We start from the raw sequence: 16773 nt of genomic DNA, 5'->3' as shown, positions 1-16773 counted from the left end.
CAGTGAGGATTATCCAGGGGGGCCTGAGTGTAACAGTGAGGATTATCCAGGGGGCCTGAGTGTAACAGTGAGGATTATCCAGGGGGGCCTGAGTGTAACAGTGAGGATTATCCGGGGGGCCCTGAGTGCAACGGTGAGGATTATCAGAGGGACCCTGAGTGCAACAGTGAGGATTATCCAGGGGGGCCTGAGAGTGACAGTGAGGATTATCCAGGTGCCCTGAGTGTAACAGTGAGGATTATCCGGGGGGCCCTGAGTGTAACAGTGAGGATTATCCGGGGGGCCCTAAGTTCAACAGTGAGGATTATCCAGGGGGGCCTGAGAGTAACAGTGAGGATTTTCCAGGGGGGCCTGAGTGTAACAGTGAGGATTATCCGGGGGGCCCTGAGTGTAACAGTGAGGATTATCCAGGGGGCCTGAGTGTAACAGTGAGGATTATCCAGGTGCCCTGAGAGTAACAGTGAGGATTATCCAGGGGTCCCTGAGTGTAACAGTGAGGATTATCCAGGGGGCCCTGAGTGTAACAGTGAGGATTATCAGAGGGACCCTGAGTGCAACAGTGAGGATTATCCGGGGGGCCTGAGAGTAACAGTGAGGATTATCCGGGGGGCCCTGAGTGTAACAGTGAGGATTATCCGGGGGGCCCTGAGTGTAACAGTAAGGATTATCCGGGGGGCCTGAGTGTAACAGTGAGGATTATCCAGGGGGGCCTGAGAGTAACAGTGAGTATTATCCAGGGGGGCCTGAGTGTAACAGTGAGGATTATCCGGGGGGCCCTGAGTGTAACAGTGAGGATTATCCAGGGGGCCTGAGAGTAACAGTGAGGATTATCCAGGGGGGCCCTGAGTGTAACAGTGAGGATTATCCAGGTGCCCTGAGAGTAACAGGATTATCCAGGGGGGCCCTGAGTGTAACAGTGAGGATTATCCAGGGGGCCCTGAGTGTAACAGTGAGGATTATCAGAGGGACCCTGAGTGTAACGGTGAGGATTATCCAGGGGGGCCTGAGAGTAACGGTGAGGATTATCCAGGGGGGCCCTGAGTGTAACGGTGAGGATTATCCGGGGGGCCTGAGTGTAACGGTGAGGATTGTCCAGGGGGGTCCTGAGTGTAACAATGAGGATTATCCGGGGGGCCCTGAGTGTAACAGTGAGGATTATGCAGGGGGGCCCTGAGTGTAACAATGAGGATTATCCGGGGGGCCCTGAGTGTAACGGTGAGGATTATCCGGGGGGCCCTGAGTGTAACGGTGAGGATTATTCAGGGGGCCCTGAGTGCAACGGTGAGGATTATTCAGGGGGGCCTGAGAGTAACAGTGAGGATTATCCAGGGGGGCCTGAGAGTAACAGTGAGGATTATCCAGGGGGGCCTGAGAGTAACACGTGAGGATTATCCGGGGGGGCCCTGAGTGTAACAGTGAGGATTATCCAGGGGGCCCTGAGTGCAACAGTGAGGATTATCCAGGGGGGCCTGAGAGTAACAGTGAGGATTATCCAGGGGGGCCTGAGAGTAACAGTGAGGATTATCCAGGGGGGCCCTGAGTGTAACAGTGAGGATTATCCGGGGGGGCCCTGAGTGTAACGGTGAGGATTATCCGGGGGGCCTGAGAGTAACAGTGAGGATTATCCGGGGGGCCTGAGTGTAACAGTGAGGATTATCCAGGGGGGCCCTGAGAGTAACAGCGAGGATTATCCGGGGGGCCCTGAGTGCAACAGTGAGGATTATCCAGGGGGGCCTGAGAGTAACAGTGAGGATTATCCAGGGGGGCCTGAGAGTAACAGTGAGGATTATCCAGGGGGGCCTGAGAGTAACAGTGAGGATTATCCAGGGGGGCCCTGAGTGTAACAGTGAGGATTATCCGGGGGGGCCCTGAGTGTAACAGTGAGGATTATCCGGGGGGCCCTGAGTGTAACAGTGAGGATTATCCGGGGGACCCTGAGTGCAACAGTGAGGATTATCCGGGGGGCCTGAGAGTAACAGTGAGGATTATCCAGGGGGGCTCTGAGTGTAACAGTGAGGATTATCCGGGGGGCCCTGAGTGTAACAGTGAGGATTATCCGGGGGGGCCTGAGTGTAACAGTGAGGATTATCCAGGGGGGCCCTGAGTGTAAGAGTGAGGATTATCCGGGGGGCCTGAGAGTAACAGTGAGGATTATCCAGGGGGGCCTGAGAGTAACAGTGAGGATTATCCAGGGGGGCCCTGAGTGTAACGGTGAGGATTATCCGGGGGGCCTGAGAGTAACAGTGAGGATTATCCAGGGGGCCCTGAGTGTAACGGTGAGGATTATCCGGGGGGCCTGAGAGTAACAGTGAGGATTATCCAGGGGGGCCCTGAGTGTAACAGTGAGGATTATCCAGGGGGCCCTGAGTGTAACAGTGAGGATTATCAGAGGGACCCTGAGTGCAACAGTGAGGATTATCCGGGGGGCCTGAGAGTAACAGTGAGGATTATCCAGGGGGGCCCTGAGTGTAACAGTGAGGATTATCCAGGGGGCCCTGAGTGTAACAGTGAGGATTATCAGAGGGACCCTGAGTGCAACAGTGAGGATTATCCAGGGGGGCCTGAGAGTAACAGTGAGGATTATCCAGGGGGGCCCTGAGTGTAACAGTGAGGATTATCCAGGGGGCCCTGAGTGTAACAGCGAGGATTATCCAGGGGGGCCTGAGAGTAACAGTGAGGATTATCCAGGGGGGCCTGAGAGTAACAGTGAGGATTATCCAGGGGGGCCTGAGAGTAACAGTGAGGATTATCCAGGTGCCCTGAGTGTAACAGTGAGGATTATCCAGGGGGGCCCTGAGTGTAACAGCGAGGATTATCCAGGGGGCCCTGAGTGCAACAGTGAGGATTATCCAGGGGGGCCTGAGTGTAACAGTGAGGATTATCCAGGGGGGCCCTGAGTGTAACGGTGAGGATTATCCGGGGGGCCTGAGAGTAACAGTGAGGATTATCCAGGGGGCCCTGAGTGTAACGGTGAGGATTATCCGGGGGGCCTGAGAGTAACAGTGAGGATTATCCAGGGGGGCCTGAGAGTAACAGTGAGGATTATCCAGGGGGGCCCTGAGTGTAACGGTGAGGATTATCCGGGGGGCCTGAGAGTAACAGTGAGGATTATCCAGGGGGCCCTGAGTGTAACGGTGAGGATTATCCGGGGGGCCTGAGAGTAACAGTGAGGATTATCCAGGGGGGCCCTGAGTGTAACAGTGAGGATTATCCAGGGGGCCCTGAGTGTAACAGTGAGGATTATCAGAGGGACCCTGAGTGCAACAGTGAGGATTATCCAGGGGGGCCTGAGAGTAACAGTGAGGATTATCCAGGGGGGCCCTGAGTGTAACAGTGAGGATTATCCAGGGGGCCCTGAGTGTAACAGTGAGGATTATCAGAGGGACCCTGAGTGCAACAGTGAGGATTATCCGGGGGGCCTGAGAGTAACAGTGAGGATTATCCAGGGGGGCCCTGAGTGTAACAGTGAGGATTATCCAGGGGGCCCTGAGTGTAACAGTGAGGATTATCAGAGGGACCCTGAGTGCAACAGTGAGGATTATCCAGGGGGGCCTGAGAGTAACAGTGAGGATTATCCGGGGGCCCTGAGTGTAACAGTGAGGATTATCCAGGGGGGCCCTGAGTGTAACAGTGAGGATTATCCGGGGGGCCTGAGAGTAACAGTGAGGATTATCCAGGGGGGCCTGAGAGTAACAGTGAGGATTATCCAGGGGGGCCTGAGAGTAACAGTGAGGATTATCCAGGGGGCCCTGAGTGTAACAGTGAGGATTATCAGAGGGACCCTGAGTGCAACAGTGAGGATTATCCGGGGGGCCTGAGAGTAACAGTGAGGATTATCCGGGGGGGCCCTGAGTGTAACGGTGAGGATTATCCGGGGGGCCTGAGTGTAATAGTGAGGATTATCCGGGGGGCCTGAGTGTAACAGTGAGGATTATCCAGGGGGGCCCTGAGTGTAACAGTGAGGATTATCCGGGGGGCCTGAGAGTAACAGTGAGGATTATCCAGGGGGGCCTGAGAGTAACAGTGAGGATTATCCGGGGGGCCCTGAGTGCAACAGTGAGGATTATCCAGGGGGGCCTGAGAGTAACAGTGAGGATTATCCAGGGGGGCCTGAGAGTAACAGTGAGGATTATCCAGGGGGGCCCTGAGTGTAACGGTGAGGATTATCCGGGGGGGCCCTGAGTGTAACGGTGAGGATTATCCGGGGGGCCTGAGTGTAACAGTGAGGATTATCCGGGGGGCCTGAGTGTAACAGTGAGGATTATCCAGGGGGCCCTGAGAGTAACAGCGAGGATTATCCAGGGGGGCCCTGAGTGTAACGGTGAGGATTATCCGGGGGGCCTGAGTGTAACAGTGAGGATTATCCAGGGGGGCCCTGAGAGTAACAGTGAGGATTATCCAGGGGGGCCTGAGAGTAACAGTGAGGATTATCCGGGGGGGCCCTGAGTGTAACGGTGAGGATTATCCGGGGGGCCTGAGTGTAACAGTGAGGATTATCCGGGGGGCCTGAGTGTACCAGTGAGGATTATCCAGGGGGCCTGAGTGTAACAGTGAGGATTATCCAGGGGGGCCCTGAGTGTAACGGTGAGGATTATCCGGGGGGCCCTGAGTGTAAGAGTGAGGATTATCCGGGGGGCCTGAGTGTAACAGTGAGAATTATCTGGGGGAGCCCTGAGTGTAACAGTGAGAATTATCCGGGGGGGCCCTGAGTGTAACGGTGAGGATTATCCAGGGGGGCCCTGAGTGTAACGGTGAGGATTATCCGGGGGGCCCTGAGTGTAACGGTGTGGATTATCCAGGGGGGCCCTGAGTGTAACAGTGAGGATTATCCGGGGGGGCCCTGTGTCCAATCACAAGCTGGTTTCTGAGAGGTGGGCAGAGGGAGTTCTGACGCACACAGAGGAAAGGCCCCGTAAGGACGGCACAGAGAGGGAGGTGAAGATGCCTGCCCTGAAGGCTGCAGTGAGCGGCCACAAGCCCTGGAAGCCAGAGTCCCCAGAGGCTGGGAGAGGCAGTAAGGGGCCTCCCAGCAGCCTCTGAAGGGGGTGCAGCCCTGCCCACACCTTGATGCTGGAGTTCTGGCCTCCAGACTGTGGCAGAATACATTTCTGGGTTTTTGTTGTTGTTGTTTTGAGACAGGGTCTCACTCTGTCACCAGGACTGGAGTGCAGTGGCAGGATCACAGCTCACTGCAGCCTCAACCTCCTGGGCTCAAGCGATCCTCCCGTCTCAGCCTCCCACATAGCTGGGACCACAGGCATGTGCTACCATACCCGGCTAATTTTGTTATTTTGTTTTTTTATTTTTGTAGAGACAGGGTTTCACTATGTTGCCCAGGCTGGTGTCAAACTCCTGGGCTCAAGTGATCCTCCCACCTCAGCCTCCCAAAGTGCTGGGATTTCAGGTGTGAGCCACTGTGCCCGGCCTACAATGTCAATTTTATCCCTCCCTTGAAGAGTCACAAGGCACATTCATTAACAAACTTAACCAACCAAGAGACCCTCATTCTCCGAACACTCAGTGTTGGGGGCAGCTTTGACGAGCCCCCAATGACCACGCCTCCTGGTGGTCATGCCCCTGGGTGGCCCCCGCCCTTTAAGTGTGGGCTGGACCTGGTGACTTGCCCCTAATGAATGGAACATGGCACAGGTGAGGGGGCTCGCTTCCGGTGTCGGTTACAGACTGTGGTTGCCATTGCGTGTGCCCTCTCTTACCCTCCCCCGCACCCTGGCTTGCCTGATAGCACAGGATCCCTGTGGTGAGCTCAGCGTGGCTTCCAGCCAGCATCCGGCAAGGAACTGAGGCCTCTATCCCACGGCCCAGAGGAACTGAGTCCCCCCCCAGCAACCATGGGAGAGGGCTTGGGAGTAGATCCTTCCCCAGCCAAGCCTTCAGCTGGGGAAGGCTGATACCCAGGAGGCCCGGCTAAGCTGGATCCGGATCCCTGACCCGCACATGCTGTGGGATAATAAATGGCGTCTGGAGCCACGAAGTTTTGGGGCAATTTTTTTTTTTTTTGAGTCAGGGTCTTTCACTGTCACCTAGGCTGACATGCAGTGGCACAATCAAAGCTCACTGCAGGCCCCATCTCCCCTGGCTCAGGTGATCCTCCCGCCCCAGCCTCCCAAGTAACTGGGACTACAGGAGCCACACCCGGATAACTTTTGTATTTTTTGTAGAGACAGGGTTTCACTATGTTGTCCAGGCTGGTCTTGAACTCCTGGGCTCAAGTGAACCTCCCGCCTCAGCCTCCTGAAATGCTAGGATTACAGGTGTGAGCCACCATGCCTGGCCTTGGGGCAATCTGTTAGGCAGCCAGAGGTAACTGGCAGGCCCAGCGCCGCGCTCCCGACAAGCTCTCTTCAAAGTGCCGCCCTGTGATGTCCCAGCCCCGGCTCCACATGGCTTGCAGGCCACTCTCTCTGGGTCCACTCTCCCATCTCCAGCCTCAGCTTTGGGACTCAGCATGGCCCCGGCCCTCAGAGAAACCACCATGACCTTCCCTATTCGCTCAGCCCCGTTCTTGAGGCTGTGCGCTCCCTTCTGCAAACCTCCTCCTCCCAGGCTCTCTCGAGTCCCCCTTCCTGGCAGCTTCTCCAACCAGACATCCCACTGGCGACTCCTCTCCCCCGAGCTTCTCAGCGTCTTGGGTTCAGGATGGAAAACACGGTGGCCCGGTGGACAGGCCGCTCTGGCTTCAGTACCCACCAGCTTATCTCACCTCCCGCCAGGCCGCAAGGTTCCTATGGACACAGCCCAGACATCGCAGGGCACCCAGAGTGTGCCGTAAGCTGCGTTCCGGGACAAACGGCACAGGATGCTACCCTCTCTGGGCCAGTGGTTCTCAAACTTGGGAACAGAACGACTTGTGAGGAAATGGTTGGGCCTCCAACGTCTCCGGGCTCCAGTTCTGAAAACCTGGCATGGAGCGCAGCTGCTGTCCCTCAGGGCGAGCTCCAGACACTGAGCTGCACCTGCAGACTCATACCTGGATCCCCCAGAAGTGCCCACTCACAGCGGGGCTGCCCAGTAACCAGCACAGGCTCACGCCAGGCACAGTTAGATGGCTGGGAACACGGAAAGCACATGTTTAGACATTCCCGTCAGGAATGGTGGAACCCAGATTGAGAAACACTGCTCTCGGCCCTCCCCCACAGTAGCAGCATGGACGGGTATCAACCCCAGTAACCGGCGTGCAGTGCTGCGTGTACACAGCAGGTGCTCAATAAACACTCAGCAGCAGTTAGAAGCTCTTATATATGGCTCATTTGGGCCTCAGCCACTTGTCCCAGCCTGGGGACCCCACCCTGGCCTCGGCAGAGTGTTGGCCCTCACCTGGATGGGCCGCCCCACAGGTAGAAGTCCCCTGCCTCCACCCTGCCCTCCCAAGCCCTCTGGGCCGGCTCATTCTCCTGGCCCCTGGTGCCTGACTTTGCGGGAGGTGCCCCAAGGGAAGCAACTGTGTCCCCTCTTGGGGTCAGCAGGCCCATCCAGAGCCCCCGAGCTCCGGTCCCGCTGGGGCAGCAGCATCTTTCTCTTTCTGCCCCCACCCCTGGTGCCCCACCCACCCCACCCACTCTGATGGCCCGGGTACTCCCTGATAATAGCAGTACTAAATCTTCCTGGCCAATTCTGCTCCATTTCTATAAATAATGTAGAATCTTTTTATTTACTGACAGGTTGTAAACGTATCAGGGAGAATAATGTGAAATCAGGAGCCGCTGAATAACGCATGACGTTGGCCTCACTCCCTCTCCTGCCGGGCGGGGGCCCCCATTGCCCCTCCCCGCACCGCACCCACCCAGCTGGGCCTCAGAAAGCCCAAGCTGCGGACCCCAGCACCATATCCGCTGATTTGGGCTTTCGTGGTTTGGCCTCCACGCGGAGGTCTTCGTGGGTGGGGTCTCTGGATCTGCACCCGCACTGATGTAGATGCTCAAACCAACCTTGCCGGCTGCCTCCTCTCACACACACAGATGCGCAAGGTCAAAGCTAGGTCTCCATTATGACCCCTTCCGCACACACACAGACACACAGACCCACAATCACACACAGAGACACACACAACATACACAGACCCAGAGACACACACACCACACGCAAACACATAATCACAGACACAAAATCATACAGAGACACACACCACACACACAGAGACACACACATCACAGAGACACACGTGCACAACCACATACAGAGACACACCACACAGAGACACAGACACATACAACACATACAAACACACAAAAACACACAGAGACACACGCAACATACACAGACACAGAGACACACACAACACACAGACACACAGAGACATGCAACACATAGACATACACTCATACACAGACGCATGCATCACACAGGTACACAACCACACGCAACACACACACAGACATACAAAACACACAGGCTCACAACCACACAGACACACACAACACACCCACACAACACAAAACTACACACAGAGACATACAACACACGGACATACAACCACATGCAGAGACACACACAAAGACATACATGCAACACACACGGCCACAGAGATACACATACAGACATACACGAAAGCACACACAGTACACAGAAACACGACACACACAGACATATAATCACACACACAAAATCATACACAGAAACACACACACACAATTACACACACACACACACACACACACACACACACAACCCTACACTTCCTGTTTTCCCATCTCTTTGATGATCCCAAAACCTCAGCAGGGAGGGGAGGGCCTGTGGGGCGTCTGGCGGATCATTCTCCGTTTTTTTGCCTTTGAAAGAATAAGCATTAATGATTTGCAGGGCCGGTGTGGCGGCGAAGACGCAGGTGTCAGCAGTCAGTAGCTCCGTGTGGCCGTGACACAAGGTCCCTGCAGGAGGCCCCTGTGTTTGCGCTGGGCCTGCTCAGGGGCTGCTGTGCGCCCAGTGTGACTTGGCAGGTCACACTCCATGGGGCGCAGCTCCAGGGCACAGCCCCCTGTAGCTGGGTGTGCAGTGGCCTGGGGCCCAGGGTCTGCCCTGGCCAGTCTTGACTTCTCAGCAATATTAATGGTAATATTAATCATGATAACCGCAGCCCGCACTCACGGAACACTCACCACCTGCCAGGGGCTCTTCTAGGAGCGAAGCACAGATTCCTAATCCATTCTTCCCCCGAACTCAGCAGAATGTGCACCCCGCCAAGTGTAGGTATCCTTGCCCGTTTCACTGTCTGCGGCATCCCCCACGCCTACGGCAGTGATTGGCACACAGTAGGTGCTCAATAAACATGTGCTGAGGACACGAAGCTTGGTACTGCTATATCCCCACTTTACAGGCAAAGAAAGCAGGCAGGCAGCTTAGGAAACTGGTCGGTTTACCCAGGGGCCTGCAGGGGCTTCTGAAAGCCCGCAAGGATGGGGGCTGTGAAACTAGGGACAAGGTACAACCGCATCAGCAACGTTCTCTTCCTGAAGCTGGTGGGGCATGTGGGTGCTGGCTGTATTATTCTTTCTACTTTTTGGAATGCATTAAATATTTCACAATTAGACACTCTGAAGGCCGTGGAGCCCCCGTGGACTGAACCCCCCCGGAAGCCCACCTTTCCACGTGCAGAGGGCCCCACTCGGGGCGGCCTGAGAGGACTCTGTGCTGGGGGGGCCCAGCAGACGAGGCAGCCTACCATGGGTGCAGGGTCAGGAGCTGACAGTGATGAAACCCTGGAGGGCTCCCCACAGCACCACACACATCACACGTGCACATCTATACGGTCATATGCACACAATACAGACACACACAAGCCACGTGTATGTGCAATCCTATGCATCCTCACACACACATGTACACACCACATACACATACACATGTGCATGTAATATATAACACACTGCACATGCATATGTGTCTGCCAATGTCTGCCAACCACACACAAGTACTTACACAATGTACACACATATGCACATGCTACACACACACCCAGAGGCACACACAAACATACAACGCATGTGGATACACACTCGACATGCATTATACATGTCTACACAAACATACCACACATGTCGGTGCGCACTCGACATGCATTATACATGTCTACACATGTGCACGTGTACACATGCACCCACACACATTCTCTGTGCGGGACCATGTAAGGACCACGTGAACAGAAAGTGACATTTTCTTCCAGCCCAGGAACCCAGAGCTGGGCTGTAAAGTTACATTCTCTCTCCTGGCTCTGACACTAAAGTTGTAGCATCTGAAATGAGCCCCTCGATCCTAACCTATCCCACTTTATAGCTGGGGAAACTGAGGTCCAGAGTCATGCAGCGGTTTGTCGGATTATGCGGGAACATCATCATTATTTGGCCATGTGTGGCCATGTCCTAGGCAGTTCTCCCACGCTTTACCTCCATCTATCCTCACCACAGCCTCAGGGGGTTGCAGGGGTATCCCCAGTCTACAGATAGCAGCAGGGCACAGCTACTTACCCACAGACATCAAGCAGACAGGCGGTACTGGACCCAGACCTGCTGACTGGGAGCTGGCACACTTCCCCTCCACCTCCTGCTCAGGAGGGACTGGGCTCTTGCCTGCTCTAACCCCTGGGAGCTCTGCGACCCCTCAGGCCTCAGTGTCCCAGGTTTTGCCACTGCAAATCACGACATGTTAACATTCCTTCTCCACTTCCCCAAAGACGCCTGAATTCTTCACCTGCTCACTTCATCTCACCCAGTGCTCACAACCATCCTGGGAACCTGTGATCCCATCACGCCCATTTTGCAGATGAGGAAACTGAGGTACTGAGAGACAACATCACTCATCGGGGTCCGAACCTTGGAGACCTAGCTCCAAGATACCCCAGAATACCAAGGTGCGTCTTCCCTAGGGTCCTCTCCTGCACAGAATCACCTGGAAGCTCTGAGAATACACCAAGGTCTGCAGCCCCCACCCCCAACCCCACCCCCACGATTCGGAACTAACTGGTCTGTAGGGTGGAGCCCAGGCCCCAGGATTTTGTGACTCTAAGGGGCAGCCCCTGGTCTGCGGGGCTCATTTGCTTCCAGAAGCCTCACACCTCCTTCTATGCGGGCTGGAGGAGGAGGATCCCAGGGGAAGCTCCTGAATTTAAATCAGACCTTCAGGAGGGCAGCAGGGGATGTGCGCCTTCCTCCACATTGCAGTCCCACAGCCCAGGGCCACCAGTCCCCAGGGAAGCGGGGCAAAGGCGATGCAGGTGTGAGGCTGACGCGCGTCCTCCAGAGGGGGCCAGATGGCAGGTGGTGCCTCCCGCACCCTGGTGCTCCGGGGAGGCCCCAGGCTGAGTCAGAACCCGAAGGCTCCCTGCATGGAAGGTGACTTTGGAACCTCGTGAACTCAACATGACAGCTCCAGAAGCTGGAGGCAGCGGCGGGGGGCAGACAGAGGCAGAGGGCTCAGTCTCCAGATTTAGTACCGTGACAAGCCTGGGCCAGCAGAGACCACATGTTCCAGGCAGGGTCCATGCGAGGAGATACACGTGCCATGCACTCTGCCTTGCCTTGGGGACACACCGCCCGCAGGAGACGGCTCAGCACCTGCATCAGCGAGTAGACACTGAGTGTCACTTGAGTGCCAAGGGTGGGAGCGGGGGTCGCAGCCTGAGTGCCCTGCTGTGTGGCCCTGGGCCCTCCAGTCTACCTCTCTGAGCTGCTATCTGCTTCCCCCAATGCAAAAGGGGAGAAAAGTGTCTGCTTTGCCAGGGGGCTGAGAGGAGGCATCTGAGCCCCTGCCCCAGTGTGTGGGAAATCAAGTCTCCCCCCAGGACTTCACAGAGGAGATGGGGGACAGGGGCAAGGGGGCTCCCTGGGACATTGGCCTGTCTCCTTTTCCATCTGCCCATGCCTCTCTGCACCCTCTTCCCACCCACCCAGCTGGAGGGGAGCCCCCGTCTCTTGGTCCTTGCTCTGCTTTTCACGTTTGCTCTCTCTCTCTGGACCTGTCACTCTGTTCTCTGCCTGGGTGTCTTCCTCTGTCTCTCTCCATGACCATCTCACGCTGTCTCTTTGTTGCTCTCTGTCTCTCTCTGACCTTCACGGGCTCCCTGGAGAGGGCACCCCCATCTCACACACAGACAGGAAACAGGCAACCGCCCAGCCCATGGCCCTGACCTGCGCTTCCCAGACAGCCTCCCCTGCCGCCACCCTCACCCACTCCTGGGTCAAGTCCCCACGGGGGCCTGTGGCCTCCCACTTGTGTAGCGTCCGGACATCCATCCTGCCCCGTTGTGGGGTCCTGAGAATGGCCTGAACGTCCTGAACTGAGCAGAAATCCTGCTCCCAATCGGAGGGAGGAGGAAGCTGCCCGTTCAGCCAACTGCTCTCCTCCATGGCTCCAGGTGGTGGGCAGCTGCCTCTGGCAGTGGCCAGGCAGTGGAAGGTGTTGGCAGGCAGAGGAGCGGAGAGCATCCGGGACAGCGGCTCCTCCACCCAGCATGGAACTAGACTTGGGTGCTGGGGAGGTGGAAGGGGTGTGGAAACAACTAATCAGAGGTGTTTTTGCATTACAATTGCAGCACATCCACTCTGTGCTGGAGTTCAAGACAGGGCCTGTCTGCGCTGGGCCACGGCCTAATATTTCCTGTCTCTCCAAACAACACGGCCACCCACTCCCAACTCCCCCCGCCCCAGTGCCTGGGCAGCAGGGAGAGGCTGAGTGAGCAGGACAGCGTGTTATCCTCCTGCCTCCATGGACTTGGGGAACTGGGGAGGAGACGGGCAGGGGCAAGGAAGGACGGGCCTGCTGATGTCCTGCCTCCTGCTCATGGGGTCCCAGTGAGTTTTCCAAATGAAGTGGACAGACTGAGGCTGGAAACAGGCCACTTGGGGCTGAAGCTTTCATCAGCCTTGTTCATATCCAAGAGAAGGTTCTAGAAGCAGCAAGCTCAGGGGTAAAAAGCAGAAAAATCCCCAGAGCATCTTGAAACTCAGAGGACATACCAGCCGGGGGACAGGGCTGTGGGCTCTGCAGGCTGGGGGGACTCAGGCCGCCGGGACTCCTCACGCAGCCCTTCTGCGGGGCGCTGGCTGGTTTTCTTCTCTCCCCATCTCTGGGCTGGCTCTGCTCCAGGCCATCCTGGGAACAGGGCAGAGCCTGGGGAGGGTGGGCGGGCGCCCAGGAGGAAGCCGGCGGGAGGAGGCAGGCGGGATGATTTAGGAGCTGTTCTGGGCAGGCCCCTAGAGAGCGTGGGCAGGGGAGGGCGGACGTGACAGAGGGAGGGAGCATTTGTTCAGGGTGAGTCAAAAGATGCAAAGGGCTTTCTCGGGAGGCCTGGAGAGAAAGGGAGGTCTGGAGCCGCTGTGGCGAGGGCTGGCATGGTGCCCAGCCAAAGCCAGAGCTTCAGAGCTGGGTGCTGGCTGCTGGGAGGGTGTTTCCAGGCAGCGAACATGCCAGCCTGTGTCCAGCCTGGCCAGACATGCAGGCTCTGAGGTGCCCCTTTGCATCTCGGCTCCACCCTTGGCAGCCTGGACCCATTGTCGGGCCTTGGTGTGCCCACCTGTGAAACGGGAGATTCCTATGGTCCTTCTCACATGAGGAGCCTGGCACACAGCAGGGCGCGATCATCTTAGCTGCTGCTTCTCCCTCCTTTCTAACACGCTCAGCAGGCGCCACTGCCCTGACACCTCAGCAGCTCGGGGCTTGGATTTTTCTGGGCCTCGTATAGATTTTACCTGTTCATTCGGTTCCATTCCATTCCCAGGGATTCAGGGTAACGTTCGAGAAGCCAATAGCCTGGCATGCAAGGCCTACCCCAGCTTGCCCCAGACCATCCTTCCTCCTCATCCTCAGCTTTGTGTGGCTGCAGCCTACAACCTCCCTATGCTTAGGTGCCCCAGTCTCTGCCCGCCCCATTCCCCGCGTCGAGAATGCCCAGGTGCTTCCCTCTACAGGCCTAATTCCTATATGTCTTTGTCCATCAAGGCCCGACTCAATTGCCACTTCCTCCAGGGGGCCTTCCCTGGATGCCTCTAGCCTGCCCCATTGAGCTTCCAGAGTGCCTCCTCCAGACCATTCATCTACCCTTGGTCTGGGCCAATGTTTGAGCCCAGAAACCGTGTGCCCAAGGAGCCAGGGCTGGCATGGAGGGGGATGCCCGAGGAAGCCTGGATTTTTGGAAGTGGCACGAACAGGAGAGGAAAGGTTTGCTCTGCTGTAGAAAAAGAGATGTTCTCGGGGGAGACGGACGGGGCTTCTGCTCCAACTAAGACAAATGAGCTAATATGAATCCCCAGGGCTTTCAGGGGGAGACGCCCACACACCTGGCTCCTGGCAGGGCCTGCAATCTCAAGGTGATCCTGCAGACAGGAGTGCGTGTGTGTGTGCGCGGGGGCTGCCGCCCATCCAGGACTAAACCAGTGACCCCACAAATGGGCACAGGGGAGGGTACATAAAGCAGAGCCCCCTCAAGCCGCTCATCCGAGGAACCACCCAAATCATTCGCTTTAAAGGGACCCTCAAAGCCCAACCGTCCTCTTCCTGTGAACATCACAGAAGCAAGCCCCCGACCTCCCCGATTATTTGAGAACTCTCCCTCTACACCCATCAAATTAGAGCAGCGTCCAGCGGGGCCGCACCAGCACCGACAGGTATTAAACTTTAATGAGCGCTAATGGCTCTGCCCTACTTTGTGAGTGCCAGGCCTACATTTATGAACATTTAATTTCTCGGGCCTTGACCTCGCTCCCCGGCCCCCGGCTGCCTCCCACCCTCCAGCCCCGCCTCTCCCCTCACAGATGTTTGTGTTTTTCGTCAGCAGTCACGGCTGAGCCTTCCCCGGTCCCCGACAGCCCGAATGTTCATTCTCCCAGGGGGTCAACAACCCGGAGCCAGCAGTGAGCCCGAACGGTATCGACGCCTGGTGACAAGTGGCCAGAGGTCCCCAGGCAGATTGGAAGTGTCCTGTGGGCCCCCGAGAAGAGGGGCGCGCTCCACCGTGGCCCCAGGGTGCCTGGAGTTCCCCAGCCCAGCCCCGCCCCAGTGGGCCTGCATCAGGACTGCCGGGCGCAAGCTGGCGGCCAACCCCCTGCTGCCCCCTGGCGGTGAGAAGGCCCACCTGCCCGTGGTGGGGAACCTCAAGCCCCTCAGCCCAGCCCAGCCACCAGGCTGGGGGGCAGTGGGGGAATAGATAGAGGGGGTCTGGGCAGGGCACCTCATTCTGGACTGGGCCCCTAAGAAGATCAGAACCCTGAACCGCCTGCTGCCTCCTGGGTGCAGGTCCCCTGCCTTGGGGTCCTGTAAATCACACAGGAGCCTGAAGACTGTTCCAGAAGGTTGCAGACCTGTCTCAGTCAGGGATAGGTGGCTCTTTGGGACTCAGTAGTAGTCTCTGCAAAATGAAGTTAGCAAAACACCCTCCCAGCTGCTTCCACACCCCTTCAGCTCCAGGGATGGTGTCAATATGAGAGGCATTTATTAGGCACCTACTGTGTGCTGGGTACTGTGTGAGACGGAGCTGTAACGACATCAGACATTTCTCCCATCAGGATTCAAGGGGATGGTGCATCAATCACAGACACCAGGTCATTTGGGCTGGGAGCCCTGAGAGGGTGTGGCCCCTGGCCTCCCTGCCGCTCCTGTCTTGCCAGAGGCCTCAGACAGCCTCAAGTTCATATATTTTGTGCCCCCGCCTCCCTTTTCTTGAGACAGGGTCTTGCTATGTTGCCCAGGCTGGAGTGAAGTGGCGTAATCACAGTTCATTGCAGTCTTGACCTGCTGGCCTCAAGTGATCTTCCCACTTCAGCCTCCCAAAGTGCTGGGATTACAAGTGCGCACCACCGTGCCCAGCGCAGTTTCTCTTCCGACCTCCAAGAGGCAGCTGCCTGTGAGAAGCAACGACTGCAGGCCCTGCACCAGCAGCCTTGACAGGGCCTCTATCTGATCCTCCTCCCTCTGACCAGCCTGCGGTCCTTATGTGAGGGAGGAGGCCGAGCCCAAAGAGGCAGGGAGAGGATGAGAGGAACCTCAGCCACATTGGGACCCCTTGCTCAGAGGCATGCACTCTGCCTCTGGGTGGATGGAGAGACCTCGGAGGGCATCCCCGCACATTCGGGGTCAGCCAACCTGGCCCCAGCCGCCTCTCCAGCCTCAGGCTCCATCTTCACTGAGGCAACGCTCCCTAAGGGTCAAGGAGGCTGGACTTCTGGGTTCCAGTCCCTTCCACAAGTCCTGGCTGTGATATGCGGCTGGCTCTCAGTTTCCTCATCTGTGATACAGAGATAGTGGGAGAACCTACCCCCAAATAGGATTGCCTGATAAAATATAGGACTCCCAGTGAAACTTAAATTTCAGATAAACAACAAATACTTTTTCAATATAACAGCTTTATTATACATAACCTGCATCCCATATGATCCCATTTAAAGCACACAGTTTGATGGGCTTTAGAATACTCACAAAAGTGGGCAGCTACTCACCACAGTCAATTTCAGAATATGTTCACCACTCCAGGGAGAAACCCCATAACCATTAGCAATCACTCTCCATCCCCTCCCCAGCCCGAAGCAATGGATGTTTTAAGAGCATAAGTATAGCCCAAATATTGCATGAGACATACTTATACTAAAAGGTATTTGTTGTTTATCTGAAATTTAAGTTTCACTGGGTGTCCTGTGTTTTTCTTTCTGGATCTGGTGACGCTCTCTGCCAGGCCTGCTGTAGTCCTGAAGGAGTCGGCCGCCTGTGCAGAATCAATGCTGTGTGTGCCAGCTGTTCTGTTATCATTATTTATATTGCCTTCATTTGGGTTCC

At 56.5% G+C, this 16773-nt stretch overlaps 1 protein-coding gene across 6 annotated transcripts in view, besides 3 other annotated features; it reads right to left on the bottom strand.

Moving 5' to 3' along the window:
• The window catches only part of GSE1 (Gse1 coiled-coil protein), a 506689-nt gene that overhangs the window by 267267 nt on the left and 222649 nt on the right, over positions 1-16773 (bottom strand). The window lies entirely within an intron of this gene.
• Positions 5229-5757: an enhancer, noted in NCBI's record as "H3K4me1 hESC enhancer chr16:85436783-85437311 (GRCh37/hg19 assembly coordinates)". NCBI's record gives its function as "activates a minimal SCP1, AML or CMV promoter by ChIP-STARR-seq in primed H9 embryonic stem cells {active_cell/tissue: H9 hESC(primed)}" and the evidence as "EXISTENCE:reporter gene assay evidence [ECO:0000049][PMID:30033119]".
• Positions 12014-12579: an enhancer, noted in NCBI's record as "NANOG-H3K4me1 hESC enhancer chr16:85429961-85430526 (GRCh37/hg19 assembly coordinates)". NCBI's record gives its function as "activates a minimal SCP1, AML or CMV promoter by ChIP-STARR-seq in naive H9 embryonic stem cells {active_cell/tissue: H9 hESC(naive)}" and the evidence as "EXISTENCE:reporter gene assay evidence [ECO:0000049][PMID:30033119]".
• Positions 12580-13145: an enhancer, noted in NCBI's record as "NANOG-H3K4me1 hESC enhancer chr16:85429395-85429960 (GRCh37/hg19 assembly coordinates)". NCBI's record gives its function as "activates a minimal SCP1, AML or CMV promoter by ChIP-STARR-seq in naive H9 embryonic stem cells {active_cell/tissue: H9 hESC(naive)}" and the evidence as "EXISTENCE:reporter gene assay evidence [ECO:0000049][PMID:30033119]".

The sequence above is a fragment of the Homo sapiens genome, chromosome 16 (genome assembly GCF_000001405.40).
Source record: "Homo sapiens chromosome 16, GRCh38.p14 Primary Assembly".
NCBI classification, from domain to species: Eukaryota; Metazoa; Chordata; class Mammalia; order Primates; family Hominidae; genus Homo; species Homo sapiens.
This window is presented reverse-complemented; position numbering and strand designations above follow the sequence as displayed.